This window comes from Homo sapiens, chromosome 7 (assembly GCF_000001405.40).
Source record: "Homo sapiens chromosome 7, GRCh38.p14 Primary Assembly".
In the NCBI taxonomy this organism is placed as follows: domain Eukaryota; kingdom Metazoa; phylum Chordata; class Mammalia; order Primates; family Hominidae; genus Homo; species Homo sapiens.
In genome coordinates this window covers 10,721,551-10,749,095 of record NC_000007.14, presented here as the reverse complement: position 1 = coordinate 10,749,095, position 27,545 = coordinate 10,721,551, and the positions used below count along the sequence as shown (strand labels likewise).

The 27,545-nt window shown below is 38.8% G+C and overlaps 1 long non-coding RNA gene across 1 annotated transcript in view, besides 2 other annotated features; it reads left to right on the top strand.

The window, feature by feature from the left end:
- Positions 1-27,545, top strand: part of MGC4859 (uncharacterized LOC79150) — a 330,125-nt gene that overhangs the window by 30,849 nt on the left and 271,731 nt on the right. The window lies entirely within an intron of this gene.
- Positions 6,425-6,924: an enhancer, noted in NCBI's record as "H3K27ac hESC enhancer chr7:10781799-10782298 (GRCh37/hg19 assembly coordinates)". NCBI's record gives its function as "activates a minimal SCP1, AML or CMV promoter by ChIP-STARR-seq in primed H9 embryonic stem cells {active_cell/tissue: H9 hESC(primed)}" and the evidence as "EXISTENCE:reporter gene assay evidence [ECO:0000049][PMID:30033119]".
- Positions 25,457-25,653: a silencer, noted in NCBI's record as "fragment chr7:10763070-10763266 (GRCh37/hg19 assembly coordinates)". NCBI's record gives its function as "represses an EF-1alpha promoter that drives an FKBP-Casp9 reporter gene in an ReSE screen in HepG2 liver carcinoma cells {active_cell/tissue: HepG2}" and the evidence as "EXISTENCE:reporter gene assay evidence [ECO:0000049][PMID:32094911]".

Genomic DNA, 27,545 nt, shown 5'->3' with positions numbered 1-27,545 from the left:
TGGTTGTTCCTTTCCATGTATAGTGCTTCCTTCAGGAGCTCTTGTAAGGCAGGCCTGGTGGTGACAAAATCCCTCAGCATTTGCTTGTCTGTAAAGAATTTTATTTCTCCTTCACTTATGAAGCTTAGTTCGGCAGATTAGTTTTCTTTTCTTTAAGAATATTGAATACTGGCCCCCATGCTCTTCTGGCTTGTAGAGTTTCTGCTGAGAGATCTGCTGTTAGTCTGATGGGCTTCCCTTTGTGGGTAACCCGACCTTTCTCTCTGGCTGCATTTAATGTTTTTTCTTTCATTTCAACCTTGGTGAATCTTGACAATTATGTGTCTTGGGGTTGCTCTTCTCGAGGAGTATCTTTGTGGCATTCTCTGTATTTCTTGAATTTGAATGTTGGCCTGTCTTGCTAGGTTTGGGAAGTTTTCCTGGATAATATCCTGAAGAGTGTTTTCCAACTTGGTTCCATTCTCCCCATCACTTTCAGGTACACCAATCAGACGTAGATTTGGTCTTTTCACATCGTCCCATATTTCTTGGAGGCTTTGTTTGTTTCTTTTTACTCTTTTTTGTCTATACTTCTCTTCTTGCTTCATTTCATTCATTTGATCTTCAATCACTGATACTGTTTCTTCCACTTGATCGAATTGGCTACTGAAGCTTGTGTATGCATCATGTAGTTCTCTTGCCGTGGCTTTCAGCTCCATGAGGTCATTTAAGGTCTTCTCTACACTGTTTATTCTAGTTCGCCATTTGTCTTATCTTTTTCCAAGGTTTTAGCTTCTTTTGATGGGTTTGAACATCCTCCTTTAGCTCGGAGAAGTTTGTTATTACTGATCTTCTGAAGCCTACTTCTGTCAACTCGTCAAAGTCATTCTCCGTCCAGCTCTGTTCTGTTGCTGGTTAGGAGCCGTGTTCCTTTGAAGGAGAAGAAGAGCTCTGATTTTTAGAATTTTCAGCTTTTCTGCTGTGGTTCCTCCCCATCTTTGTTGTTTTATCTACCTTTGGTCTTTGATGATGGTGACCTACAGATGGGGTTTTGGTGTGGATGTCCTTTTTGTTGATGTTGATGCTATTCCTTTCTGTTTGTTAGTTTTCCTTCTAACACTCAGGACCCTCAGCTGCACGTCTTTTGGAGTTTGCTGGAGGTGAACTCCAGTCCCCGTTTGCCTGGGTATAACCAGTGGAGGGTGCAGAACAGCAAATATTGCAGAACAGCAAATGTTGCTGCCTCATCCTTCCTCTAAAAGCTTCATCTCAGAGGGGCACCCGGCTGAATGAGGTGTCAGTCAGCCCCTACTGGGCGGTGTCTTCCAGTTAGGCTACTTGGGGGTTAGGGACCCACTTAAGAAGGCGGTCTGTGTGTTCTGAGAGCTCAAACTCCATGCTGGGAGAACCACTACTCTCCTCAAAGCTGTCAGACAGGGACATTTAAGTCTGCAGAAGTTTCTGCTGCCTTTTGTTCACCTATGCCCTGCCGCCAGAGGTGGAGTCTACAGAGGCAGGCAGGCCTTGTTGAGCTGCAGTGGGCTTCACCCAGTTTGAGCTTCCGGCCACTTTGTTTACCTACTCAAACCTCAGCAATGGCGGATGCCCCTCCCCCAGCCTCGCTGCCGCCTTGCAGTTTGATCTTGGACTGCTGTGCTAGCAGTGAGCAAGGCTCTGTGGGCATGGTACCCTCTGAGCCAGGCATGGGGTATAATCTCCTGTTGTGCTGTTTGCTAAGACTGTTGGAAAAGCGCAGTATTAGGGTGGGAGTGTCCCGATTTTCCACGTACCGTTGTCTGTCATGGCTTTACTTGGCTAGGAAAGGGAATTCCCTGAACCCTTGCACTTCTCAGGTGAGGCGATGCCTGCCCTGCTTCAGCTCACACTCCGTGGGCTGCACCCACTGTCCAACAAATCCCAGTGGGATGAACCCACTACCTCAGTTGGAAATGCAGAAATCACCCGTCTTCTGTGTCGCTCACGCTGGGAGCTGCAGACTGGAGCTGTTCCTATTCTGCCATCTTGGAACCCAAGCCAACTCTTCAGTTTAATTAGATCCCGTTTGTCAATTCTGGCTTTTGTTGCCATTGCTTTTGGTGTTTTTGTCATGAAGTCTTTGCCCATAGGCCTGTGTTCCTGAATGGTATTGCCTAGGTTTTCTTCTAGGGTTTTTATGATTTTAGGTCTTACGTTTAAGTCTTTAATCCATCTTGAGTTAATTTTTGTATAAGTTGTAAGGAAGGGGTCCAGTTTCAGTTTTCTGCATATGGCTAGCCAGTTTTCCCAACACCATTTATTAAATAGGGAATCCTTTCCCCATTGCTTGTTTTTGTCAGTTTTGTCAGAGATCAGATGGTTGTAGATGTGTGACATTATTTCTGAGGCCTCTGTTCTGTTCCATTGGTCTATATATCTGTTTTGGTACCAGTACCATGCTGTTTTGGTTACTGTAGCCTTGTAGTATAGTTTTGAGGTCAGATAGCATGTTGCCTCCCACTTTGTTTTTCTTGCCCAGGATTGTCTTGGCTATACATGCTCTTTTTTGGTTCCTTATGAAATTCAAAGTAGTTTTTTATAATTCTTTGAAGAAAGTCAAGGGTGGATTGATGGGAGTAGCATTGAGTCTATTAATTACTTTGGCCAGTATGGCCATTTTCACCATACTGGTTCTTCCTATCCATGAGCAGGGAATGTTTTTCCATTTGTTTATGTCCTCTCTTATTTCCTTGACAGTGGTTTGTAGTTTTCCTTGAAGAGGTCTTTCACATCCCTTGTAAGTTGTATTCTTAGGTATTTTATTCTCTTACTGGCAGTTGTGAATGGGAGTTCACTCATGATTTGGCTCTCTGTGTATTATTGGTGTATAGCAATACTTGTGATTTTTGCACATTGAGTTTGTATTCTGAGACTTTGCTGAAGTTGTTTATCAGCTTAAGGAGACTTGGGGCTGAGACGATGGGGTTTTCTAAATATACAATCATGTCATCTTCAAACAGAGACAATTTGACTTCCCCTCTTCCTATTTGAATGCACTTTATTTCTTTCTCTTGCCTGATTGCCTTGGCCAGAACTTCCGATACTATATTGTATAGGAGTGGTGAGAGAGGGCATCCTTGTCTTGTGCCTGTTTTCAAATGGAATGCTTCCAGTTTTTGCCCATTCAGTATGATATTGGCTGTGGGTTTGTCATAAATAGCTCTTATTATTTTGAGATACATTCCATCGATAATGTAGTTTATTGAGTGTTTTTAGAATGAAGCAGTGTTGAATTTTGTCAGAGGCCTTTTCTGCATCTATTGAGATAACCATGTGGTTTTTGTCATTGATTCTGTTTATGTGATGGATTACGTTTCTTGGTTTGTGTATGTTGAACCAGCCTTTCATCCCAGGGATGAAGCCGACTTGATTGTGGTGGATAAGCTTTTTGATGTGCTGCTGGATTCAGTTTGCCAGTATTTTATTGAGGATTTTTGCATTGGTGTTAATCAGGGATATTGGCCTGAAATTTTGTTGTTGTTGTTGTTGTGTCTCTGCCGGGTTTTGGTAATCAAGATGATGCTGGCCTCATAAAATGAGTTAGGGAGGACTCCCTGTTTTTCTATTGTTTGGAATAGTTTCAGAAGAAATGGTACCAGCTCCTCTTTGTACCTCTGGTAGAATTTGGTTGTGAATCCATCTGGTTCTGGGCTTTGATTGGTAGGCTGTTAATTATTGCCTCAGTTTCAGAAGTTGTTATTTGTCTATTCTGGTATTCAACTTCTTTCTGGTTTAGTCTTGGGAGGGTGTATGTGTCAAGGAATTTATCCATTTCTTCCAGATTTTCTAGTTTATTTGCATAGAGGTATTTATATTATTCTCTGATGGTAGTTTTTATTTCTGTGTGATCAGTGGTGATACTCCTTTATCATTTTTTATTGTGTCTATTTGATTCTTCTCTCTCTTCTTCTTTATTAGTCTGGCTAGCGGTCTATCTATTTTGTTAATCTTTTCAAAATACCAGCCCTTGATTCATTGATTTTTTTGATGGGTTTTTTTGTGTCTCTATCTCCTTCAGTTCTGCTCTGATCTTAGTTATTTCTTGTCTTCTGCTAACTTTTGAATTTGCTTGCTCTTGCTTGTCTAGTTCTTTTGATTGTGATGTTAGGGTGTCGATTTAGATCTTTCCTGCTTTCTCCTGTGGGCATTTAGTGCTATAAGTTTCCCTCTAAATGCTGCTTTAGCTGTGTCCCAGAGATTCTGCTACATTGTATCTTTGTTCTCATTGGTTTGAAAAAACTTATTTATTTCTGCCTTAATTACATTATTTACCCAGTAGGCATTCAGGAGCAGATTGTTCAGTTTCCATGTAGTTGTGCAGTTTTGAGTGAGTTTCTTAACCCTGAGTTCTAATTTGATTGCACTGTGGTCTGAGAGACTGTTATGATTTCCATTCTTTTGCATTTACTGAGGAGTGTTTTACTTCCAATTATTTGGTCTATTTTAGAATTAGTGCAATGAGGTGCTGAGAAGAATCTATATTCTGTTGTTTTGGGGTGGAGAGTTCTGTAGATGTCTATTAGGTTTGTTTGGTCCAGAGCTGAGTTCAAGTCCTGAATATCCTTTATAATTTTCTGTCTTGTTGATCTGTCTAATATTGACAATGGGTGGTTAAAGTCTTCCACTATTATTGTGTGGCAGTCTAAGTCTCCTTGTAGGTCTCTAAGAACTTGCTTTATGAATCTGGGTGCTCCTGTGTTGGGTACATGTATACTTAGGATAGTTAGCTCTTCTTGTTGCATTGATCCCTTTACCATTATGTAATTCCCTTCTTTGTCTTTTTTGATCTTTGTTGGTTTAAAGTCTGTTTTATCAGAGACTAGGATTGCAACTCCTGGTTTTTTTTTTTTTTTTGCTTGCTAGGTATTCCTCTTCCCTTTATTTTGAGCCTATGTGTGTCTCTGCACGTGAGATGCGTCACCTAAATACAGCACAGCAATGAGTCTTGACTCTTTATCCAGTTTTCCAATCTGTGTCTTTTAAGGTAACCCATTTACGTTTAAGCTTAATATTGTTATGTGTGAATTTGATCCTGTCATTATGATGCTAGCTGGTTATTTTGCCCATTAGTTGATGCAGTTTCTTCATGGTGTCGATGTTCTTTGCAATTTGGTATGTTTTTGCATTGCCTGGTACCGGTTATTCCTTTCCATGTTTAGTGCTTCCTTCAGGCCCTCTTGTAAGGCAGGCCTGGTGGTGACAAAATCTCTCAGCATTTGCTTGTCTGTCAAGGATTTTATTTCTCCTTCACTTATGAAGCTTAGTGTGGCTGGAAATGAAATTCTGGGTTGAAAATTCTTTTCTTTAAGAATGTTGACTATTGGCCCCCACTGTCTTCTGTCTTGTAGGGTTTCTGCAGAGAGTTCTGCTATTAGTCTGATGAGTGTCCCTTTGTGGGTAACCCAACCTTTCTCTGTGGCTGCCCTTAACATTTTTTCCTTCATTTCAGCCTTGGTGAATTTGATGATTATGTGTCTTGGGTTGCTCTTCTCAAGGAGTATCTTTATGGTTTTCTCTGTATTTCCTGAATTTGAATGTTGGCCTGTCTTGCTAGGTTGGGGAAGTTCTCCTGGATAATATCCTGAAGAGTGTTTTCCAACTTGGTTCCATTCTCCCCATGACTTTCAGGTATGCCAATCAGATGTAGATTTGGTCTTTTCACATAGTCCCATATCTCTTGGAGGCTTTGTTCATTCCTTTTTATTATTTTTTTCTCTAATCTTGTCTTCACGCTTTATTTCATTAAGTTGATCTTCAATCTCTGATCTCCTTTCTTCGTGTTCATCAATTCGGCTATTCATACTTGTGTATGCTTCACGAAGTTCCGTGATGTGCTTTTCAGCTCCATCAGGTCATTTATGTTCTTCTCTTAGCTGGTTATTCTAGTTAGCATTTTCTCTTCTCTTTTTTAAGGTTCTTAGCTTCCTTGCATTGGGTTAAAACATGCTCCTTTAGCTGGGAGGCATTTGTTTTTACCCACCTTCTGAAGCCTACTTCTGTCAATTCATCAAACTCATTCTCCATCCAGTTTTGTTCTCTTGCTGGCAAGGAGTTGTGATCCTTTGGCAGAGAAGAGGCGTTTTTGTTTTTGGAATTTTCAGCCTTTTTGCACTGTTTTTTCCTCATCTTTGTGGATTTATCTACCTTTGTTCTTTGATGTTGGTGATCTTTGGATGGGGTTTTTGTTTAGACATCTTTTTGTTTATGTTGATGCTATTTCTTTCTGTTTGTTAGTTTTGCTTCTGACAGGCCCCTCTGCTGCAGGTCTCCTGGAGTTTGCTGGACGTCCACTCCAGACCCTGTTTGCCTGGGTATCACCAGCAGAGGCTGCAGAACAGCAAAGATTGCTTCCTGTTCTTTCCTCTGGAAGCTTCATCCCAGGGGGGCATCCTCCAGATGCCAGCTAGAGGTGTCCTGTATGAGGTGTCTGTCGACCCCTGCTGGGAGGTGTCTCCCAGTCAGCAGGCACGGGGGTCAGGGACCCACTTGAGGAGGTAGTCTGTCCCTTAGCAGAGCTTCAGCGCTGTTCTGGGAGACCTGCTGCTCTCTTCAGAGCCAGCAGGCAGGAACATTTAAGTCTGCTGCAGCTGCACCCACAGCCGCCCCTTCCCCCAGGTGCTCTGTCCCAGGGAGGTGGGAGTTTTATCTATTAGCCCCTGACTGGAGCTGGTGTCTTTCTTTCAGAGATGCCCTGCCCAGAGAGGAGGAATCTAGAGAGGCAATCTGGCTCCAGCGGCTTTGCTGAGCTGCGATGGACTCTCCCCTGTTCACACTTCCTGGAGGCTTTTTTTACACTGTGAGGGGAAAACCGCCTACTCAAGCCTCAGTAATGGCAGATACCCCTACCCTTACCAAGCTCTAGCATCCCAGGTCGACTTCAGACTGCTGTGCTGGCAGCAAGAATTTCAAGCCAGTGGATCTTAGCTTGCTGGGCTCCTTTGGGGTGGAATCCACTGAGCTAGACCGCTTGGCTCCCTGGCTTCGGCCACTTTTTCAGGGGAGTGAGCGGTTCTGTTTCGTTCACGTTCTGGGTGCCTCTGGGGTATGAGAAAAAACTCCTGCAGCTAGCTTGGTGTCTGCCCAAATGGCCGCCCAGTTTTGTGCTTGAAACGCAGGGCCTTGATTCTGTAGGCACCCGAGGGAATCTCCTAGCCTGCAGGTTGCAAAGACCATGGGAAAAATGTAGTATCTGGGCATGAGGAAAGAAGCGCACCTTTCCTCACTGCACAGTCCCTCACAGCTTCCCTTGGCTAGGGGAGGGAGTTTCCCGACCCCTTGTGCTTCCTGTGTAAGGCAGTGCCCCACCCTGCTTCGGCTCGCCATGGGCTGCACCCACTGTCTAACCAGTCCTAATGAGATGAGATGAGTACCTCAGTTCGAAATGCAGAAATCACCCACCTTCTGCATTGATCTCACTGGGAGCTGAAGACCGGAGCTGTTCCTATTCGGCCATCAGGCCGGCCACCTCCAGGGTTTTATTTTTTAATGGAAATTTGAAGTTACTTTTAAACTTTGCAGTGCCTGGACCTTACTGAACACTGAATGCTGTAGTTCTCTTTTCAAAACCATTAGGTAGCCACTTTAACTTATAGCAATAATAAAATCTGTAGCTATGAGGACCAAACAGTTTCTTTTGAAATGTATAAATTGTCATTACCATGTGAAAACATTTCCTAATTTGTGATAAATTCATAGTGATGTATACACTCCCTCTCACCAAGTTGTCCTCATCATAGATATTTTTGAGATTGTTGAGGCTGTCTTGATATGGAATATATAAACCTCTGACATTTTCAGAGATGGAAGCTGTGCTCATTTCATCATATGCAGACTATGTTCCAGATCTAATCTCAGTAGATTGAATTATTTAGTCCAGTTCTTTACCTCTTTCTAGATCCATAGCTTTGCCAAGGAGACTTTACTGTTGTCCTTCCCCAACCTCACAGTGGCTAGTGTGCACCTTCTTTTCCCTTGCATTGGCAGATAAGCCTTGACATGTGCCAGCTTGCTCTCTTGAGCTTGTACCACCCCCAGGAGCCTGCTAGCCCACGATGAGGGAGAAACACATGAAGCAGAGCTCTTCTAGCTGACCTGAAACTCAAGAGTATTAAAAACAAAAACAATGTTTATTGTTTTATACCACTGAGGTTTTGAGGTTAGTTGTTTTACAGTATCATGTAGCAATAGCTAATGATTTCTGTGGGTTTGAGCAGCTTGTAGGAAAAGGTTAAATTAAAAGCTAATGAATACTAAAAAAGCAATCTCTAAAGAATCAGTCTTGAAATTTATGAATTTTATGTCTAAGTAAAGTTCATCTTATACATTTGATATACCAGAAGTTATAATAATGAACATATGGATAGATCATTGATTCATATTGTCCTATATATTCTAGTGATAAAATAAAAATGTAGAAATAATTAGAATATGAGTGATAGAGTTGCATGTGATAAAATAACCTAAGAAATTTTTTACTTGAATATTCACTTTCCTAAAATTATGCCAGATAGCCAAAAATTAAATTGGCCGTGAGATATCTGGAGTTGCCCCTTCACAATTACTTACATGAGAAAACAGAAAGAGGATTATGTAGGTCTCCCAATTTATGCTTCGAGATAAAAGAAAAATTCTAACTTGTAAGCTTTATTTATTGTTTGTTGCTATTAAATGAAGGACAAGTTATTTTAATCTTCCTTAATATTTTCTATTTTTAGAGAAAGAAGTCTATGAGATTTTTAAATAAGTATCAGCTCTAAATAACAGAGGCATATGAAAAAACAGTTTGATTGCATTGATATTTTCCTCTTGTGTCATTAGTATAAACAGTTTTAAATATATTTACCATTTTAAACCTACTATTCTTAAATCTCTTAGTCACTTTTACTTTGTAAATAAACTAATCTTCTTTGGTAAGTATAACTTCACTGAAAATGGAACTACGTAGGATTGCTAGGATGCAGGCTCAACGAGGGTAGAGATTTTGGTTTTGTTCACTAATATGTTGTTCCCATATCTCAAACACCAACAGGCACATCGCAGTCACTCAATTAAGTATTTGATGAATATAATGGGTCTCTCTTGGACTCACCTGAAGACAGTTTATTGTCTGAACTCACCCTTTGGAGGGCATTATACAATGATGCTCTGCACAATCCAATGTTTATGAGGACTAGCACCAGATTTTACTGATTAAATGACTAAGAGTACCTGAAAAAAGCCTATTTCCTGCCAGTTTTCTGTGTGCACACATGAGAACGTATCAGCCACTGCTATTTTTTTTTCTGAACTTCGAATCCTCCAGAACTCAACAGATAGTTCTCTTTTGCTGAGTAGAGATAGATACCAGCTATTCAGTATGTTACTGATATACTTTCTATCATGTAATCTGCTTATTTTCTTTTCTGTTGCTTCTCCACAATCACAGATAATTTGCCTAGGAGGAGTTTAACTTTTTCCTCAAAGTCTGATTTCATTTCAGAAGAAGAGTGAGTCACTTTGTGAGAGGAATGTGATAGTTGGCCACTTCTCACTACAGTCCATTTAAAGTTTTTTTTTTTTTTTTTTCTTTAATGGAGTCTTGCTTTTGTCCTCCCCCAGGCTGGAGTGCAATAGCATGAATTTGGTTCACTGCACCCTCCGCCTCCTGGGTTCAAGCGATTTTCCTGCCTCAGCCTCCCACGTAGGTGGGATTGCAGGCGCCTGCCACCATGCCCAGCTAATTTTTGTATTTTTAGTAGAGACGGGGTTTCACCATGTTGGCCAGGCTGGTCTTGATCTCCTGACCTCAGGTGATCCACCCTCCTCAGCCTCCCAAAGTGCTGGTATTACAGGCATGAGCCACCACCGCTCCTGGCCGGGTTCTTTTCACCTTCATCTGGCCTCCTTTCCAACCACCTCCATGTTGTTTGTGCATCTTACACGTACCTAAGAAAATATTGCACAGGCTTCATAGCCTAAAGTGTTATTTATACTATGAAGTATAAATAAATGACTATTTTAGCTTTTGTTAATAATAGCAACAATAATATTAGTAAATATTGATTATGTATTATGTACCAAACTCTATCCTAATCACTTTAAATAAATAGCATCATATAATCCTCATAACACCTCAGGAAAATGAGTCTCAGTGAGGTCATGTAACCTTTCTGAAGTCCCACTTAGATTGTCAAGCTGGCACTGGACATGTCTGGAGACTGGCATGTAAACTAAGGCCTTTCTACAGGATGCTATCCAGTAATAATTAATTGGTCACTGTATCCTTTAGCCCAGTGCTGTCCAATAGAACTTTCTGTGATGATGGAAATGTTCTATATCTGTGCTGTCTTACACAGTAACCACTAGCTGCATGGGGCTTTGGTGCACTTGAACTATTACTAGAAAAACTGAAGAGTTATTTTAATTTAAATTTTAATAGTCATAAGTGGCTAGTGGCTACAGTATTAGATAAGCAAAGCTCTAAGCACTATTATACTGTCTTGTATATAAAAACTTGAGTGCATACTTGTTTTAGAGGTTGCATTTAAGTTGGGTATACAAAGATAAAATTGATGCCTTCCCCCCTCAAATGAGATATATATTTTTTTCTTTACTTTTTCCTCCTTTAGGTGACTGTCTTTATCTTAAGCGTATAATATAGCCTTTTGGTTTGAAGGGCTTATTGAATTAGAAATGAAAGAGAGAGGTCACAGGTGATTTGGGGGCACATGGGGCTCTGGGAACCTTATGGACACCATGACTAGGTCAGTGCTGAGAATGATCACATTCAGAAAGCTTTGTTGGTTCAGTTGTTAAATATTGGAGGCCCCTGCCCAAACTAGGAATACTGGCAGCCTTGAACACATGGCTGAATTAATGGAGAAAAAACTGAGTCCAATAAGTATGCTTATATATATGCTAGGCATATATGAATATTAGTTATTTATTCATCTGTTTACTCATTCAATAGATATTATTAGGCATCTACAATATACAAGGCTGGGGATATTCCAGTGACCAAAGTTATTATCCTCATGGAGCTTACATAGTATTGTGAGGCAGGGTGTAGAGATGGTTGTGCAGAGAACGAACAGATAAACAAGTACATAATGAAGTATGTTTGATGATAATTGCTGTAGAAGAAAATACAGTGTAGTAAGAGGGATAAGGAGTACTGGGGATGGAAATTTTAGCAGGTTGGATCTATTTCATATATGGTGGCCAGAGAAGGCCTCATTTTAAGGAAAGAGCTGAAGAAGGTGAGAAAGTGCCATGCAAATATAGGGGTTTATGGCTGGATGTTCTAGGTGAAAAAAGGGCAATGGCAAAAGTCTTGAGTTGGGAGTCTGATTGATATGTCGGAACTACAGAAGATTCCAGTGCATTTGGTGACTGTGAGTGGAATAGGTGAGGTTGATGTGGCAGGAAGGGCAAGAGAAGCTTAGTGAGAGAAATCAAAGAGGTGTAAAGGGGCCATATTTTGTTGGGTCTTGTAAGGATTTTGGCTTTTACCCTAAGTAAATTTGAATAGAGAACTGACATGATCTGAGTTTGGATTGATAATCAGTGAAAAATCTATTCAAAATGAACAAATATAGCTATCCGCATTCCTTTGAGAGCACATCAACTGCTTATATGTCTGATAGATATCTCATGCACTTACTTGATAGTTTAATTTTGGTCCTAAGGAAATAGAAACAGCTACCGCAGTGGTTGGTGCTTGGAGAACTGAAGGGGCATAAAGCCTGTGCTGCTGCTAAGGAAGAGTGAGAACCAAATTCAAGTCCTCAGAGGAAAATATTCTAACAAGAGCTCTCTAAATGGCACAGAAACTCCCCTTCTATGTGTCATTCCTTTGGATCCACAGTTCTTTCTCTTGAGTAGTTTTTGGATTTAGTAAATATTTATTTAGTATTTAATACTTTCTAAGGGTTTTATAAATATGAACTAAATAATTCTCTTAACCTTTGAGATAGGTTCTACTCTTCTAGTTTTTCAGAGAGCAGGCTGAAGCACCAGTTTTTTGGGAGCTCAACGAGGTGTGTAGGGGTCATTAGAGGTAAATTCCTTCCTGAATGGGAGGCTGAACAAGACGGTCTTTAAGGTTCTACAATATCAACTGTTCTGTGATTACAAATGTGGCAGAATTATATGAGATATTTTCTAGGTAAAATAAAAGCCAAAAGATTGGATAAAACATTGCAGCTAGTGTATTAAAATGTGCCTGAAATTCTGATAGGAAATATTACTTTGAGCCATAATCGAAGCTCTAGTCTTCCTAAAGACCCGTTGTTATTACTGTTAATGATTAGCTTTTGACCAGTGAATTATATGAAAATTCAACTGTTTTGCCAACTCTCTCATTAGTTGGTCCTGCTTGCACACCTGTCATAATCCATGCTCCAAAACACAGTATAATTATAGGATTCAAGTGCTGCTCTCTGTCCAAACTCTTTAAGGTGCTAAGCTTAGAGCTTTGAAAATGCCACCACCTTCTCTGAAGCAAAGAAAATATTTCCTAATTGGGGCCTGACTGTTTCAAACAGAATCACTTCAAAAGGAGGCCCACAAAAAATAATAAAGGTTATGACTATGGGTCATAATAAAAATCTCTTAAGAAAATAAAATATCTGAACGTATATAGTACTGAATTTTCTGTCCCAAATGAAGACCTCAGTGATTAGTGTTCTGAGAACATAAGGAAGGCTGGCCTAATGAGAAGAAAACTGAAATGTATTACTTTCCTAAATGCCACTCAAAAGTGTGTAAGGTAGGCTGTAGTAAGTCTCAAAGGACCAGAATATGAGTAAAGAAATTCAATAATTTAAGTCAGTTTTATTGATAGAATTAAATTTATGACAAAATGACCTTTTCCTGTTTCTGGTCTGTGATTGGCTACTACTGAAATGGTAACACTTTCACATTGTCTGGTTTTGGCTCTAACCCTTCTTTTCAATGCCTTTCCTTAATTAACAACCATGATTGCTTTGTTATTGAAAGTGGGTGATGTATTGAGGGGATCTGTGATAGAGACTGCTAATTGTCCCCCCAATATCCAATTTTTCTCTTCTTCCTTTTAGCAATTAACTTCCACAAGTTTTAGTGATCATGTGTTTGCCCTGCTGGTGTCTACTCTTCTGCCTTCTTTGCATCTCAGGGTGACCATGGGACTGTGTTCTATAGAGTCCTAGTGAAATTATGTGTGTTACTTCCAGGTCATACCCTTGAGAGGAAACTTCTTGCTTTCTACTACCTTTCTCTCCTATCTGCAGAGGGAAAGATAGGTATGGGAGCAGTGAATTATCTTCAACTTCAAGCATGTGGATAAAGAAAACATGATAGGTATATCAGCCGGCATTCAGTTAAGGAAATGGAAACCAGTCTAGGTAGCCGAAGCAGAAAGGATGTAATGCAGTGAATTAGGTACTTACAAAATAATCATAAGGGCTGGAAGAATGGAAACCAGAGAACTGCCACAGGTCAATTGGCATTAAGATCAATCACTGTCCCTGTGAGGTGGAGGTCAGGCAGCTGCTGCAGCTCTTGTCCACTCTGCTGTCCCCTTGGCTGCCTCATGCCACAAAAGACTAGTGTTTAGAATGTGGCTTCTGTTAGAAATTGCTTGAAAGCCACCACTGTATCCACTGTTATAAGAAGGGAGTATTTACCTCTCTTCTGCCTTCCAAATCTCTCATGAATGCCTCTCATTGACACAACCAACATTACCTCCTAAACCGTAGCTGGTAGGGAATCTAGAAAGTATATTCATCTGCTTTCTGACCACTGTGATAAGGAGGTGAAAACGTGCTCTAGTTGTCAATAAACAAAATCCAGAACACTAAGAGTTGGTGGCAACAAGATAGAGGGAGTCTGGGTACCAGACCCTGTGGCGTACCCAACCAGTCCAGGACCATACACCAGGAGGTTAGATGAGAAAGAAGATTGTTGCCCTTTAAAATCTGCTGTTATTTTGAGTCTTCTGTCACTCATAGCGGAATCTAATATTAATTCAAGTGTTCTTAGAAATGGGATGCCACAATCAACTTTTGGTGTTGGATTAGTCTAAGTGGCCAGGTAACAGAACTCATTGCAGATTAGAAGTCTGGTGACCCCTATTTTGTCATTGCAAACATTTAAGAACACCATCCCCAAAGGTCTCTTAGAAGGTAGTCCGTGTGCCTGGTGAGGATAAACTTTAAAAAGAGAAAATGGTAAGAATAATTCAAAATGTTGGGTTTTGTTTTTGTTGTTGTTACTGCTTTCAACAAGGCTGTAGAAGTGAGATATTACTTGGGGGTAGAGTTGTCCAGGCTGCAAGCAGAGATAAAGGTAATATTACTATGCTGAGCTCAACCATCTCTGCCTCCAGCTGGAATACAAACTGACGAAGAGTTTGATATTTAAAAACTTGCAGGGTTGAAATAGCTGACTGATTCTATAACCCCAAACAAAGCAGCAACTTTAGCAGAAGGTAAAGCAATTTCCAAGCCAACTGTGATGGCAAAACTAGTGGCAAAGATCAGATCAAAAGTACTGCCTTTTCTCTCAAGCCTACAATGATGAAGTAAATTGTACTTCCCTTTCCATAAATCCATATATTGAAGCCCTAACCTCCAGTATATGATATTTGGAGATTGGACCTTTAAGGAGCTAATCAAAGTTAAATGAGGTCATAAGGGTAGGACCCTAATCCTATAGAACTGATGTCTTTAAAAGAAGAGGCAGAAATACCAGAAATCTCATTTTCTCCATGTGTATACACAGACGTGAGGATACAGCAAGATGGTGACTATCTGTAAGCTAGAAGAGAGGGTACCCGTCAGAAACCAACCCTGCTGACACCTGATCCTGAACTTCCAGCCTCCGGAACTGTGAGAAAATAAATTTCTGTTGTTTTAAGCCACCAAATATGCAGTATTTTGTTATGACAGCCTGAGAAGACTAATACACTGACTTTTAAAAATATCCCCAAGGTAATAACCTCATGGTCTGGCAATGGAAGAGAGAGAAATGGGCAGGACTAGAGCCTAGTAATTAAAAAACAAATTCCTTGGGCCTAAAAACTATGCCTAGATAAGATTTTTGGGTCTAGTCATTTGTACTTGGAATTGACTCAAAGTGAATACTCTTTGAGGGAACTGTAAATGCTGACCTTTGCACATCTCCATCTTAATTAACAAGATGGGACTGCAAAAGCTTATAATTGTTCTATCTCTAATAAAATCCTCAGATACACTAAGCTGCATCAGCAGGAAGCAGGCTGTGAAATCTACACAGCCACCCTAAAGCGTAAACTCTAATGCCTACCTTACATGTGAACATGGGACATAATACAGCAGGAAGAAGCTCCCAAAAGGAAGAATTGAGGTCCAAGACATTGGACAAGGATGTTGCCCCCAGAAAGCAAAACCAAACTTGCTAGATTACCTACTCAAAAAAGGGAGTCTTCATAATTCCTGGTCAGCAGGTTTTGATAATTGTAAAGTACAAGGGACTGCAATGAACTTCCAATTTTCTGCTTTTTCTAGCGGGGAAAGCCAATTATTGCTTCACCGTTGAATACCATGAAAGGCCAAATAATTTGTATTTTATCTTGTATTTTCTTTTCTCCTTTCGAGATGGGGTTCTTACTATGTTGCCCAGGCTGGACTTGAACTCCAGGGCTCAAGTGATCCTCCTGCCTCAACCTCCCGAGTAGCTAGGATTACAGATGTGAACCATACTATCTGGCTTTGTATTTTATTTTGTAAGTTGCTGGGCCATGAGCTATCATATCCAGACTTGATGCATCACATCACCCAGACATCCTAGACTTTGAGCCGGTTGCTGAAATTGGATAGGACTTTGGCACTGGGTCCCTTGGAGAGGGGCAGGATGAGTTCCATGTATGGGAAGAGTAAATCCGTGAGTGATGAAAGAGGCAGAGTTTGTCAGAGCCTGCTGATTGATAGGTGCTCCTTCTGTGATAGAGCCCTCAATTTTTGGCTCAGCATAACCTAACGTGGAGTGCATTTCCCAGTTTACCTTGTTATTGAATGATTTTCTAACTCAGGTCTGGCCAGTGGTATTTAAGTAGAAATGTGATGAAACGTCCTTAAAGATAATGTACATATGTGCTTTATTGCTTCTCTTTCACTTCCTTTATTCTATCACATACTCGTTGACAACCACCATCTTGGGCTATGAGAGCTCATTTTTTTTCCTCATTATTTATGGTTTTTTTTTGTTTGTTTTCTAAAGAATTTTAGAATTGAGAAAAACAGCATGTAAAGCTTCAATGATTAGCCTATTGGCAGCATTGTGAAAGTTAGATTTTGCCAAACTTGCAAAGACAGGCATAATTCAGGATTTTCTCCTGAATTCACAAAAGGAGAAAAAATCATTCATGATGTTTTTCTATTACCTTTAATTTTGGTTGATACAAGCATCTTAGTTTTATGCATTCTGGAAATGAGAGTAAATTTTCACTCAGTCATACAACTAGTATTTTATACCTGCCTTGTAAATACATGACTTTTATTCCATTAGAAAGAAGCAAAATAAATGTAGAGGAAGGATTTACTTATAATGCAAAATACTTCGTTCAGTTGTTTCAATTAAGAAAGAAATAATTCGATGTAACTATCTCAACCCCAGTTTATAGTCTTTATTTTTCTCTGGTTTCCTTTTTGCCTTAAGCAATGAAAAGGATTAATTCTGTGTAGTAATTTAAATAAAATTACTTGCTAAAAATCCTCTGCCAAGATCAGTGAAAGGGGGATTAGTTTTAAGCTGCCCTAATCAGAATATTTTTAAGAGAAAGACTATCAAGGAATAACTATTAACACTCTAGGTACATCCATTTTTATATAATTTGTAATATATGTTTTCTCTTTAAAATTACTTAACAATTATCTAGAGTTCTTGGCCCTAGATTTGAATGGCAAAATATACCACTAAAGATATTGAGTTCTTCAGTTTGTATGCTAGTATTCTATATCATTGTATAGAATATATTGTCTTTGGGTAAAACCAACTCATGAATATTATTAGTAAGTTCCTTTCATATTTCCATATTTCTTCACTGAGCTATTTTGGAGGTGATACTAACAGTTATGATTTGCTTTCTTTCATCCCAGTGCTGGCAAAAGTAGCCCAGATGCTCCTCATATTTGAAAGTGGCTTTGGGGATATATTAACCATAGTTGTGATAGAATATACTTGAGTTGTACAGAGTTGTGTAGAGTTGTATAGAGTTGAGTTGAGACTCAAGTGTATTCTATCCAGAGAGGAAAACAGAATAGGTAGGAAATAACGATACTTGGAACAGGGAATCAGCACAGAGATATCTTCAGTATATTTCTGGATTTATCCAGCAATTTCCCAAAGAAAACTCAAAATGTCAGAATATGTGTGGTTAAAAAAATAGTATTTGTGTTAGGCATTCTTGTGTTGCTACAAAGAAATACCTGAGGCTGGGTAATTTAGCATGTGACCCTGGTGAGGGACTCAGGAAGTTTGCAATCATGGCAGAAGGTGAAGGTGAAGCAGCCATGTCGCATGGCGAGAGAGGGAGCAAGAGAGCCAGGTGGTGGTGTAGGGGTAGACTTTTAAATGAGATCTCACATTAAGTGAGTGAGAACTCACTTATCACCAAGAGGATTGTGCTAAATCATTCGTGAGGGATCCACCCCCATGAGCTAATCATCTCCCACCAGGCCCCACCTCCAACATTGAAGATTACTTTTCAACATGAAATTTGGAGAGGACAACCATCCAAACCATATCAATGTTTCTTCTCTTATCCTTTAGGGTTTATGTCTTGAAACCACTAGTTTTAACATTTCGTGTCCCTATTCTCTACCTATCATATCACAATTGGCTCAGGGCTGTCTTTTTTTTTTTTTTTTAATCATTTACACCAAAGCTGAAACAGATCTCATGATTCCATGCCTCTCAATAGAGTCATATAAATTATTAGGCTCTATGTGTGTATTAGGCTACAGGGGCATGAGAATAGGTCTAGTCAGAAGAGGCCTAGAGGTATATTCAGGAAGGGCAATGTCTAGTCTTGAGAGCTGAAAAAAAATGAATACAGAATTCAGAGGCTGGGAAGCCAGAAGGAGTCATCAACTTCAATACTGCACATACAAGGCAAGCTCTTATTCTGTGGCAGGTGCTGCATGCTTTTTACCTTATTTTATATTATTTTCTGGGTGTTCTCTAAAAGGACTTTAGAGACTGCAGACAAATCCTCTCTGGCTAAGACAAGAATGGAATATTTAGTTACACAGAGATCTTCAGGGCATGTTCTAGCAGCTACTAAAAACAAAGGAGAATATCTGGGGTGAGGAATTTATTTTTGGAATTTCTGTCTGTTTGCAAATAACACATACTAAATGATTTACCTTATTAATCCCAGAATGAATAATATTCTTTCATACTTTTGGAATTTTCATTTCCCTATTATGCATTTTGACAATTTTCTGTTCATAGGCGTAAACATATGAGGCTGAGAGTATTAAAGAAATTGTGTTTTGGCCGGGCGTGGTAGCTCATGCTTGTAATCCCAGCACTTTGGGAGGCTGAGGTGGGCAGATCACGAGGTCAGGAGATTGAAACCATCTTGGCCAACATGGTGTAACCCCGTCCCTACTAAAAATACAAAAATTAGCTGGGCGTGGTGGTGCGTGCCTGTAATCTCAGCTACTCGGGAGGCAGGAGGTTGCAGTGAGCCGAGATTGTGCCATTGCACTCCAGCCTGGTGACAGAATGAGACTCTGTCTCAAAAAAAAAAAAATTGTGTTTCTATAGTATGAATTTGATATCTTTTCTTAGATTTTGGCTTTTCACCAACTGCATATTTCTTACAATGGTTGTAGAAAAGACATTCTACCTTTTAGAGTACTTGTGTCATGCATTTGCTTGTGGTTTTAATCAGCAGGAAGAGGGGAACTATACCTTTAGAAACACATTTCAGTAGAGGAAAGTAAGCTATTATTTATCCAAGTTTCTTTTAATTGATGATTGAGAAGTCATTTAAGCTGATTTCAGCCCTTTACTTTGCACTGTAAGCAGAGCTCATGGCTATGACTCTGTAATCTTGTTCTCTGGCAGTGAGTTAGGAAGAGAGCCCTGGTACCCTGAGGTGGGCCACTTAACCTTTAAAGGCTTTCGGTTTCTCATTGATAAAATGAAGGTAATAGTAGCACTTACCTCTTAGTATAATTGGGAGAATTGAGTTAATACATCTAAAATGCTTAAAAGGGTTGATAATACATACTAAGCACTCAAATGTTTTCTGTTCTTAAAATCTTACAAAAACCCTGTTCATTGGGGTAGTGTCAGCTTCATTTTATAGACGAGGAGACTGACATACAAGAAAATTTAAATGACTTATTCAAGCATTACCACTATTAGGTATGAAATCCAGGCCTTTGGTTTTTTGACTCCAATTTTTCAAATGATCCAATATCTTAATGTGCTCCTTATTAATTTTAAAACTCAGCTAGAAATACTTTGCAAATGCCAATCAATAATTTGTTTTTATATTATACTTTTCTAGTTTCATATAAACTATTCAACAAAAACCAAATTTTTTTTTATAAACAGACTCCTATTTCCTACATTGGTGGTAGTTAAAATGAAATAACTACTTTGGAGGCAGTATTTATATTAAAATAAAATACTGTGGTTTGTCATAATAATCTCATAAATACCTCAAGATTAGCCAGTCAGATTTTAAAAACACAATTGAATTTTTATGCATCTATGAATAAAAATAGTACTATGCGTTATTCAAACTTCTCCTATAGATAAAAAGGAAATTCTGAAGTACAGGTGATTTTGTTCCTAACATTGTGATTTATGTATATCACCTGAGCAATATCAATAAAAAATGACCTAAGCTCTGAGCCTTCACATTTTTGAAACAAGTAAATACACTTACATGATACAGGCACCCAAATAAACTTCCAATTAATAATCTTCTTAGCTGTGCTACCAAAAGTCTAGGAGTTTTTACAAAAAACTCTTGCTTACATATAAATGAGAAGCCAGTAGGTGACTGTCACAGTTGGTAAAATGGGACCATCCAGCAGAATCACCGGGCAATTGACATTTACTGTGATCTCATTATGCTTGGAATACAGAAAACGTCATGACAGGCATGATTCTTTTCTTAAATCTACTCGGAGCAGAATATAAAGGAAAATATTAAAGTATTTCTAAAGCAAGAAATATTTTTGAGATGTTTTGAAAATGGGTGTCTTGATTTCACATTAAATGAAACAGTAAGTGGAGGTGAAATTAATCAAGGAAAGTGAGGGAGTGAAGTCTTGAACCAGGTTTAGAATAATAGAAACATCTTCCATTTATGAACTCTATTTTTGACAATAGATGAATGGAAAGATCTTTTAAAAGTGTGACTTGGGAAAAAAATTTTGTAGATATTAGCATTTCTTTATCTGCTTTACGTTTTTTTTTCCCAGAAAAATTTCAGCTTTTATTTTTGATACGGGAGTACATGAGCAGATTTCTTACATAGGAATGTTTCATGATGCCGAGGTTTGGAGTAAGGATCCCACCACCCTGGTAGTGAGCTAAGCATTGAGCACACATGGACATAAATATGGGAACAATAGATACTGTGAACTACTAGTGGGTGGAGGGAAGGGAGGTGGGTTAAACAACTATCTATCAGGTACTATGCTTTATGTTTTATTAAATATAAGAAACTGTGGTTTGTCTTTCCCTTTAGAATGTGACCTACTTGAAGGCAGGGATCATGTCTTTAGCCCCAGCATCTAGCACAGTGCCAAGTACAAATTGAAAACTAAAGAAATATTTGTGGAATTGGTTGTTCAGTCTCAATCAGCTCAATTATACCAGATGTGGTACAAGATAAATTGTTTATATGGTGTGCATGCATAGGTTGTGTGTATGTATGTTTGGGGACACTTTTATAACAAGTGGGATACTGCGGGTTGTAGGGTCAGAGAACAAAATTCTAGTCATACAAATGGTACTTTGGGAACTAAAGAAAGCTTGACTTGTGCCCTAATGTTTTATTTCCTTCACTCAATTCCGAAATCCTCACTCCACATTGATGGTGCAGTGGGGACAAGATGAACTGAGAAATATCACTACGTAAATTATGATTGGAGAAAGTCTTGACCTGTATCTTAAAAGACACTTGGGAGTGGAAGAGTGGCCAGTGCAGACTGTGAGGCACAGGTGTTCCCTGCTCTGCGCTGGCAGTAGACCGTTTCTGACAGGCTGCCGCATTGGGCACAACCTGAGGCTCCCAGGTGGTCTTCAAGGACAGCCTGCACTGCAGCCAACTCATTCTGCTGAGGTCAAGGAGAGAGCTTGGGCACACAACCACGGATCCACAGCAGGTAGAAGTGAATTATTAGAGGGCAAGAGTTGGCATTTGGGAAAATGATTCCTGACTAGTGATAAAGAAATGATTAATTCTCTCAGGACAGCTGTGCTGTATTTAATTCTACTTTAAGGTCAGTGGGAACTTTGAATGAATATTAAAGAGGAAAGATTTTATTGCTAACACTTTAATATAATGTTTACTTAAACATTTAGCATATGAATGAATCTCTGCACCCAGAGATATACAACTTCTATGGCAGCTCACTACCTATGTTTTCTTTGAAATCTTAACAAAGACCATGGACAGACACAAATTAAGACAGTCATCAGGATGGTGACCCCTGCATCTTAACTTGTGCTGGGTTCTACAACTTCAGGCTATTGAAAGCCTGTGGGAATTATTAAACCTGGGCCAGACATTCCAGCCTGGCCTGGTACAAAAAGAACTTTAGCCCAGTGTTCCAATAAGAATGTGAGGTTACATCATTACCTCCATGCTTACTCTCCTTCCTACCCTGTGATGCCTCTTAATATGCAAGAGCATCCACATGACCTACTCTGACTTTTAATCGCATCCTCAAAATCTCTGGGACTTGTCTTCTCTCCTTCATCCCCAAACAGGTATATACACCGCTAATCCCTTTGCCTACCTCCTATGCTTTGTTGTTTGTAAATTTTGTTTTTTGATACACAAACTTTACATCTTTAAGCTCTTCCAATAATTGCCCCTCATCTATGCCTCACACAAATGACACTGTGATTAATATTTTTCACATTTTGCTGACTCTGAAATAGGAATACATATTAAATTCATGCCATTTTACAATTACGACTGGCAACTTTAAAAAGTACTTTCTTTTTTTTTTTTTGAGACGGAGTCTTACTGTGTCACCCAGACTGGAGTGCAGTGGTGTGATCTCGGCTCACTACAACCTCTGCCTCCCGGGTTCAAGTGATTCTCCTGCCTCAGCCTCCAGAGTAGCTGGGACTACAGGCACCTGCCACCACACTCGGCTAATTTTTTTTTTTTTGTATTTTTAGTAGAGACGGGATTTCACCATGTTGGCGAGGCTGGTCTTGAACTCCTGACCTCAAGTGATCTACTCACCTTGGCCTCCCAAAGTGTTGGGATTACAGGCATGAGCCATTGCACCAAGCCAAAAAGTACTTAATAGATTTAATATATTTCTGTTTAGTAGAAATAGAAACACATTACTTTATGTATAAAGTAATAGTGTATGTTAGCCCTGAGGGCATCATATATTAGATGACATGTGGTAGTTCTCTTGAAGAAAATCCTCTTATTACCTGTCTTTGAGTGAAGTCCTTTCACTTTTCCACATGGCTCCCAGTGTGCCTTGACTCCTTTCTGATGAGTTCAATTTCTGCTTTAAGCTCTACAGAACTCTGTGTAGACCATTATCACCCTAAAGAATTATAGGACATTGTAAGGATTTACTTATAAATCTGGTTGCAACTGTACAGTAAGTGTTGATTTACATCTATGAGCCATTTCTTATTGACCCATTTATTGTCTCTTAAATAAAATGAGGTTTAATAAAATTGGGAGAAACAAAAACGTATATTGCAAAAGTCAGTGACTTGAGAAATGATATGGCACTGAGTGAAAAAGTATTCATTTTAATAAATGTTACCAGCAAAACAACAACAACAAAAAACCCCAAACTCAAAAAACTAAAACAATAAATGTTATCAGCAGTTGTCTTTATTACTCATCATGCCTCTTAGGTGAGCACAGTTGAGTAGAATTGTATCTGTTGTATTTGTCATTATGAATAAAAAAATTAATCTGCATAGTTCTGATAATATCTTGCATATACATTATTGGTTAAATTCCAATGGTAGTCATATAAGAATTTACTTTGCACATTTATGTTGGTAAGCCTGATGAATTTACTCTTTTGTTTTCTGTTTTTTAATTCTGATAATTCTTAAAACAGTCTTGGGTTTGCTAAATCACTGTCAGTATATGTTAAGAGGAAGCTTAGAAGTCAATGCTATAATCCTTTTGGAAGACCTATTGAAATTTACTATGAAATCACACTTTTAATTATCAGGCTCTCTTTTCATCTTCTTCAGTGCCCTGCTGGGGTGATTGAAACATGAAACTTATTTTAATGAGAATGTTTGTATATGGAATATGAAACAAATTTTTAGATGGATATTTATATGAACCATTATATTTATCAATGGAAATACTGCTATCGTTTAAATGTCCCCTCTAAAACTCATGTTGAAATTTAATTGCCATTGTAACAGTGTTGAGAAGTGGGACTTTTAGGAGGCAATTAATGCTATTCCTGTGGGAGTTGGTTAGTTACTAAGAGAGTCTGGACCCTCTTTTCTCTTTGTCTCCCTTGCTTACCTCTGCCTTTTGCATTCCACCATGGGATGATCCTAGTCAGAGGCTGGCACCATGCTCTTGGACCTCCTAGCCTCCAGAACTATGAGCCAAATAAATCTCTTTTCTTTCTGAATTACTCAGTTTGTGGTATTCTGTTATAGCAGCAGAAAGCAGATGAAGACAAATACTTTTATTATAAAATTTCACACTAACTGTACATGGCAAGAATTAGAAAACTATATGAATCTGTAAAAATACTTCCTTGGAAATCAATGAATATTTGGATGGAGGAATATGTATTCATATTTTTGGCTTTGTTCAAAACCAAATGATTTGTTAAAACATATCATTGAAATGTCTGTATACCAATTTTGGGAAGCATGAAACCTTTCTCTGTGATTGGCCAACTTTCCATGTACCCTTAAAACCCAAAAATACTATCAATTATGTCAATAATAAATATTTATATTTCTGAAGTATAACATGAAGTTAAGTGTGTTTTTTCCTATACTTTTTTTTTTTGCAAGTGATGAAATGATGGCTTTTCCCATTCTAGAATGTTTGATGTCATCCAGAATGTTGTTGAGTCTCTGTTTTTCTACCCTCATCATTCTCTGTGGGTCACATCTCTGGGTCCAGTGATCTAGAAAGTGAGATCTGTAGTATTCATGACTGAACAGTTTATAATCCCTTGGCAGCCACTCTGTCTCGAAACAAATGGAAACTTTGTGACATCATATATGCTCAGACACATTTTCACAGAAGTTGGCACATCTTTCTGACTAGACCCAGTTATAAGTTGAATTGTACAAGTTAGGAAAAATTTGTTAACTCCAGAAAGATGAAAGAGAGTGCTGTATTAATTTCCTTGGGGCTACTGCTGTTACAATTCATGATTCTTTTAAAGTATAGGATCTGGAGGCTAACCATTTTTGAATGCAGAACATTTTTTTCTGAATTAGTGTTGTGTTTTCAACATTTTATATTTTTAAGAGGTTACCCAGGCTTTTGCAATATTTATTTGTTATAATTACATTTCTAATTTTCAGTTCTTTTTTCTTTTGAAATTAAATGTATTCTTTATTTAGTATGATTATGCGGTGCTTCATTTTTCTTTCAAAGAATGAAATAAATTCTTTTCTGTCTAGCTCATAGGCACAAATATATAGAGATAAAGAGTTTTATTTGGTAAGTTTTACACATCAGGTTTATATTCAACCCAGGCCTGAAATGATCAAAATGTGTTATTGACTGATAGTTGTTTCAGTGTCCTACAAGAAATATTGATAAAGTCAGACCAGCTCTTACTTTAATGGTATGTAGAGTGACAAAGCAAAAATATTGAAATGTTGGCTTCAGTTTGATGTCTTGAAAGGAAAAACATTGTAATGACTTTCTATTTCACTTCCCATATGGAGATGTGATCCATTCAGGTCAGGGCTCAGGGCTGGTTCACGGGGAGCTCCAAGGTCACCTCATGACTTGGGTCAGTGAAAATATGAATTGACTCTTTATTTCAGTCACTGGAGAAAAAAGAAATAATTTAAGTGCAGGAGATTTGCAAATAATTAAGAAATTTCTTAGTCCCACATGGTACATACACACACACACATGCACACACACACACATATTTTGTGTGTGTGTGTATGTGAGAGAGAGAGAGAGAGAGAGAGGGAAAGAGAAAGAGAGAGAAAGAGAGAGAGAGAGAGAGACAGACAGACAGACAGACAGACAGAGTCTCATTCTGTCACCCAGGCTGGAGTGCAGTGGTGTGATCTTGGCTCCTGCAACCTCTGCCTCCTGGGTTGAAGCAGTTCTTGTGGCTCAGCCTCCCAAGAAGCTGGGATTACAGGTGTGTGCCACCATGCCTGGCTAATGTTTTTGTATTTTTAGTAGAGACAGGGTTTCGCCATGTTGGCCAGGCTGGTCTCAAACTCCTGGCTTCCAGTAATCCACCCGCCTTGGCCTCCCAAAGTGCTGGGATTACAGACGTGAGCCACCACATCTGGGCCTCCCATCAATATTTATTCTCAGAAAGAAATAGTCACACTTGTCAGGTCATGTTTACCTGGTCACCCCCAGACACTCATATTTTAATTTTTACCCACTGGATAATTTTCATATTGCTTCCCCAATTTGTACTGCCTGTTTCTGTCCCCTCCAAATTCACACATTGAAGCTCTAGCCTTCAGTGTGACGTTATTTGGAGGAGGAGTTTTGGGGATGATTAGGTTTTAATTAGGTCATGAGGGTGGGATCCTCATGATAGGATTAATGCTCTTAAAAGAAGAGGAAGAGAAGGAGAATTTCCTACAAGCCAGGAAGACCCTCACCAGGAACCACATCTTCCAGCACCCACACTGTGGAACTTCTCAGCCTCAAGAATTGTGAGAAATAAATTTCTGTTGTTTAATACACCTAGTTCTTTGGTATTTTGTTGTAGCAGCCCCAGCAGACTAAGACAATGTTGACATCTATTGTCCATTGAAAAGCACCTTTACCCCACATTCTTGATTGTGTCTTTTCCTCAATGCTTTCAAATAGCCGGATTAGCACAAATCTTACATAATTAACCCATTAGACATTCAATATCATAGACTAAATAATATTTGGCACTAAAGTCTTACTCATTTTAAACATATTTTATGCTTCTAAAGATTTTTAAATGTAGGAAACATACCAAATTTTATATATTTTTTCTTTCCTGGGCAGTAAAATAGAAAGTGATGTGTATTATCTGCATCAGCTGGCACTTTTTACAAAGGGATTTTAATTGTCTGGATGAGATTTTTTTCAATTTAAGGATTAACATCTCAATGCTATTTTAAATGATGTAAAAAAATCTGGACGTGCTTTTCAAAAAGCAGTTTATTTCTTGGTACTGACTTAATAAAAATAAAGGTGAGGTGTTTTAGTCCTATTAACATATATTTGAAAGAGATATGCAGATTAAGATTTACGTCTACTGACATTGATGCTCTAGGAAGAGAAAAACTGATCCTCATCTCATCATATGTGTAGTGATGTAGGCCCTGAAATCTCAAACTAAGATGAAAACAGCAATCCCGGTCTTCAAGCACACTTTGATCTTTGCTCTCAGCAGTGCTAAACTTCACTGTTGCCTCACGTGAAGAAAAAAGAAAAAGAAAAGAAAGGGAAATAGCTTAATACAAAAGTTAATTTGTATTAAATCATTTGCCACTTTGCCGGTTTTTTTGCAACCTAAATTTTACATCCTCCATGTATTTTCTTTATGCATTAAAATGAAAAAATAAAACTTGATTTGTAAAGCACAGAAATAATGACAGCAAATGGGGATTTTTTATTTGTTCTTTGGTGTGAATTGGCATAGGCATTATGATGAAGTTAAAACGCAGAGGTTAATTGAAAAATGAGATAAACAAAGCCCCTTGAAGGTCTCTGAATAATTTCGCCTGGCAGCATTGACAGTCTACAACCATCAGGCACTAAAACCTACTCCGAACTGCTGGAGATTAAAAAAAAGTAGCTAAAGTTAATTGTCTTTCTGTTCCTTCCACCTCATTTCAGCCCAATTATAACTGGGAAAAGTCATTCTGCCTAATTTGCATTAATGCACATCCATGGAAAAATAGCTTAGACAGTGAATTCGATTTTTAAAAAATATTATGGACATATTTAAAATACCTAGCACAATTCCCAAATGTAAAATTCCTTGTGAAATTCCTGGATGACAGTTCTCAAATTCTCCTAAGATGCCTTTAAATTATAGGTGTTAAGAAAAATAGTTCACATATTGAGGGCTTATGAAATGCCAGAGCCTACCTTAAGGGCTGCATGGGGA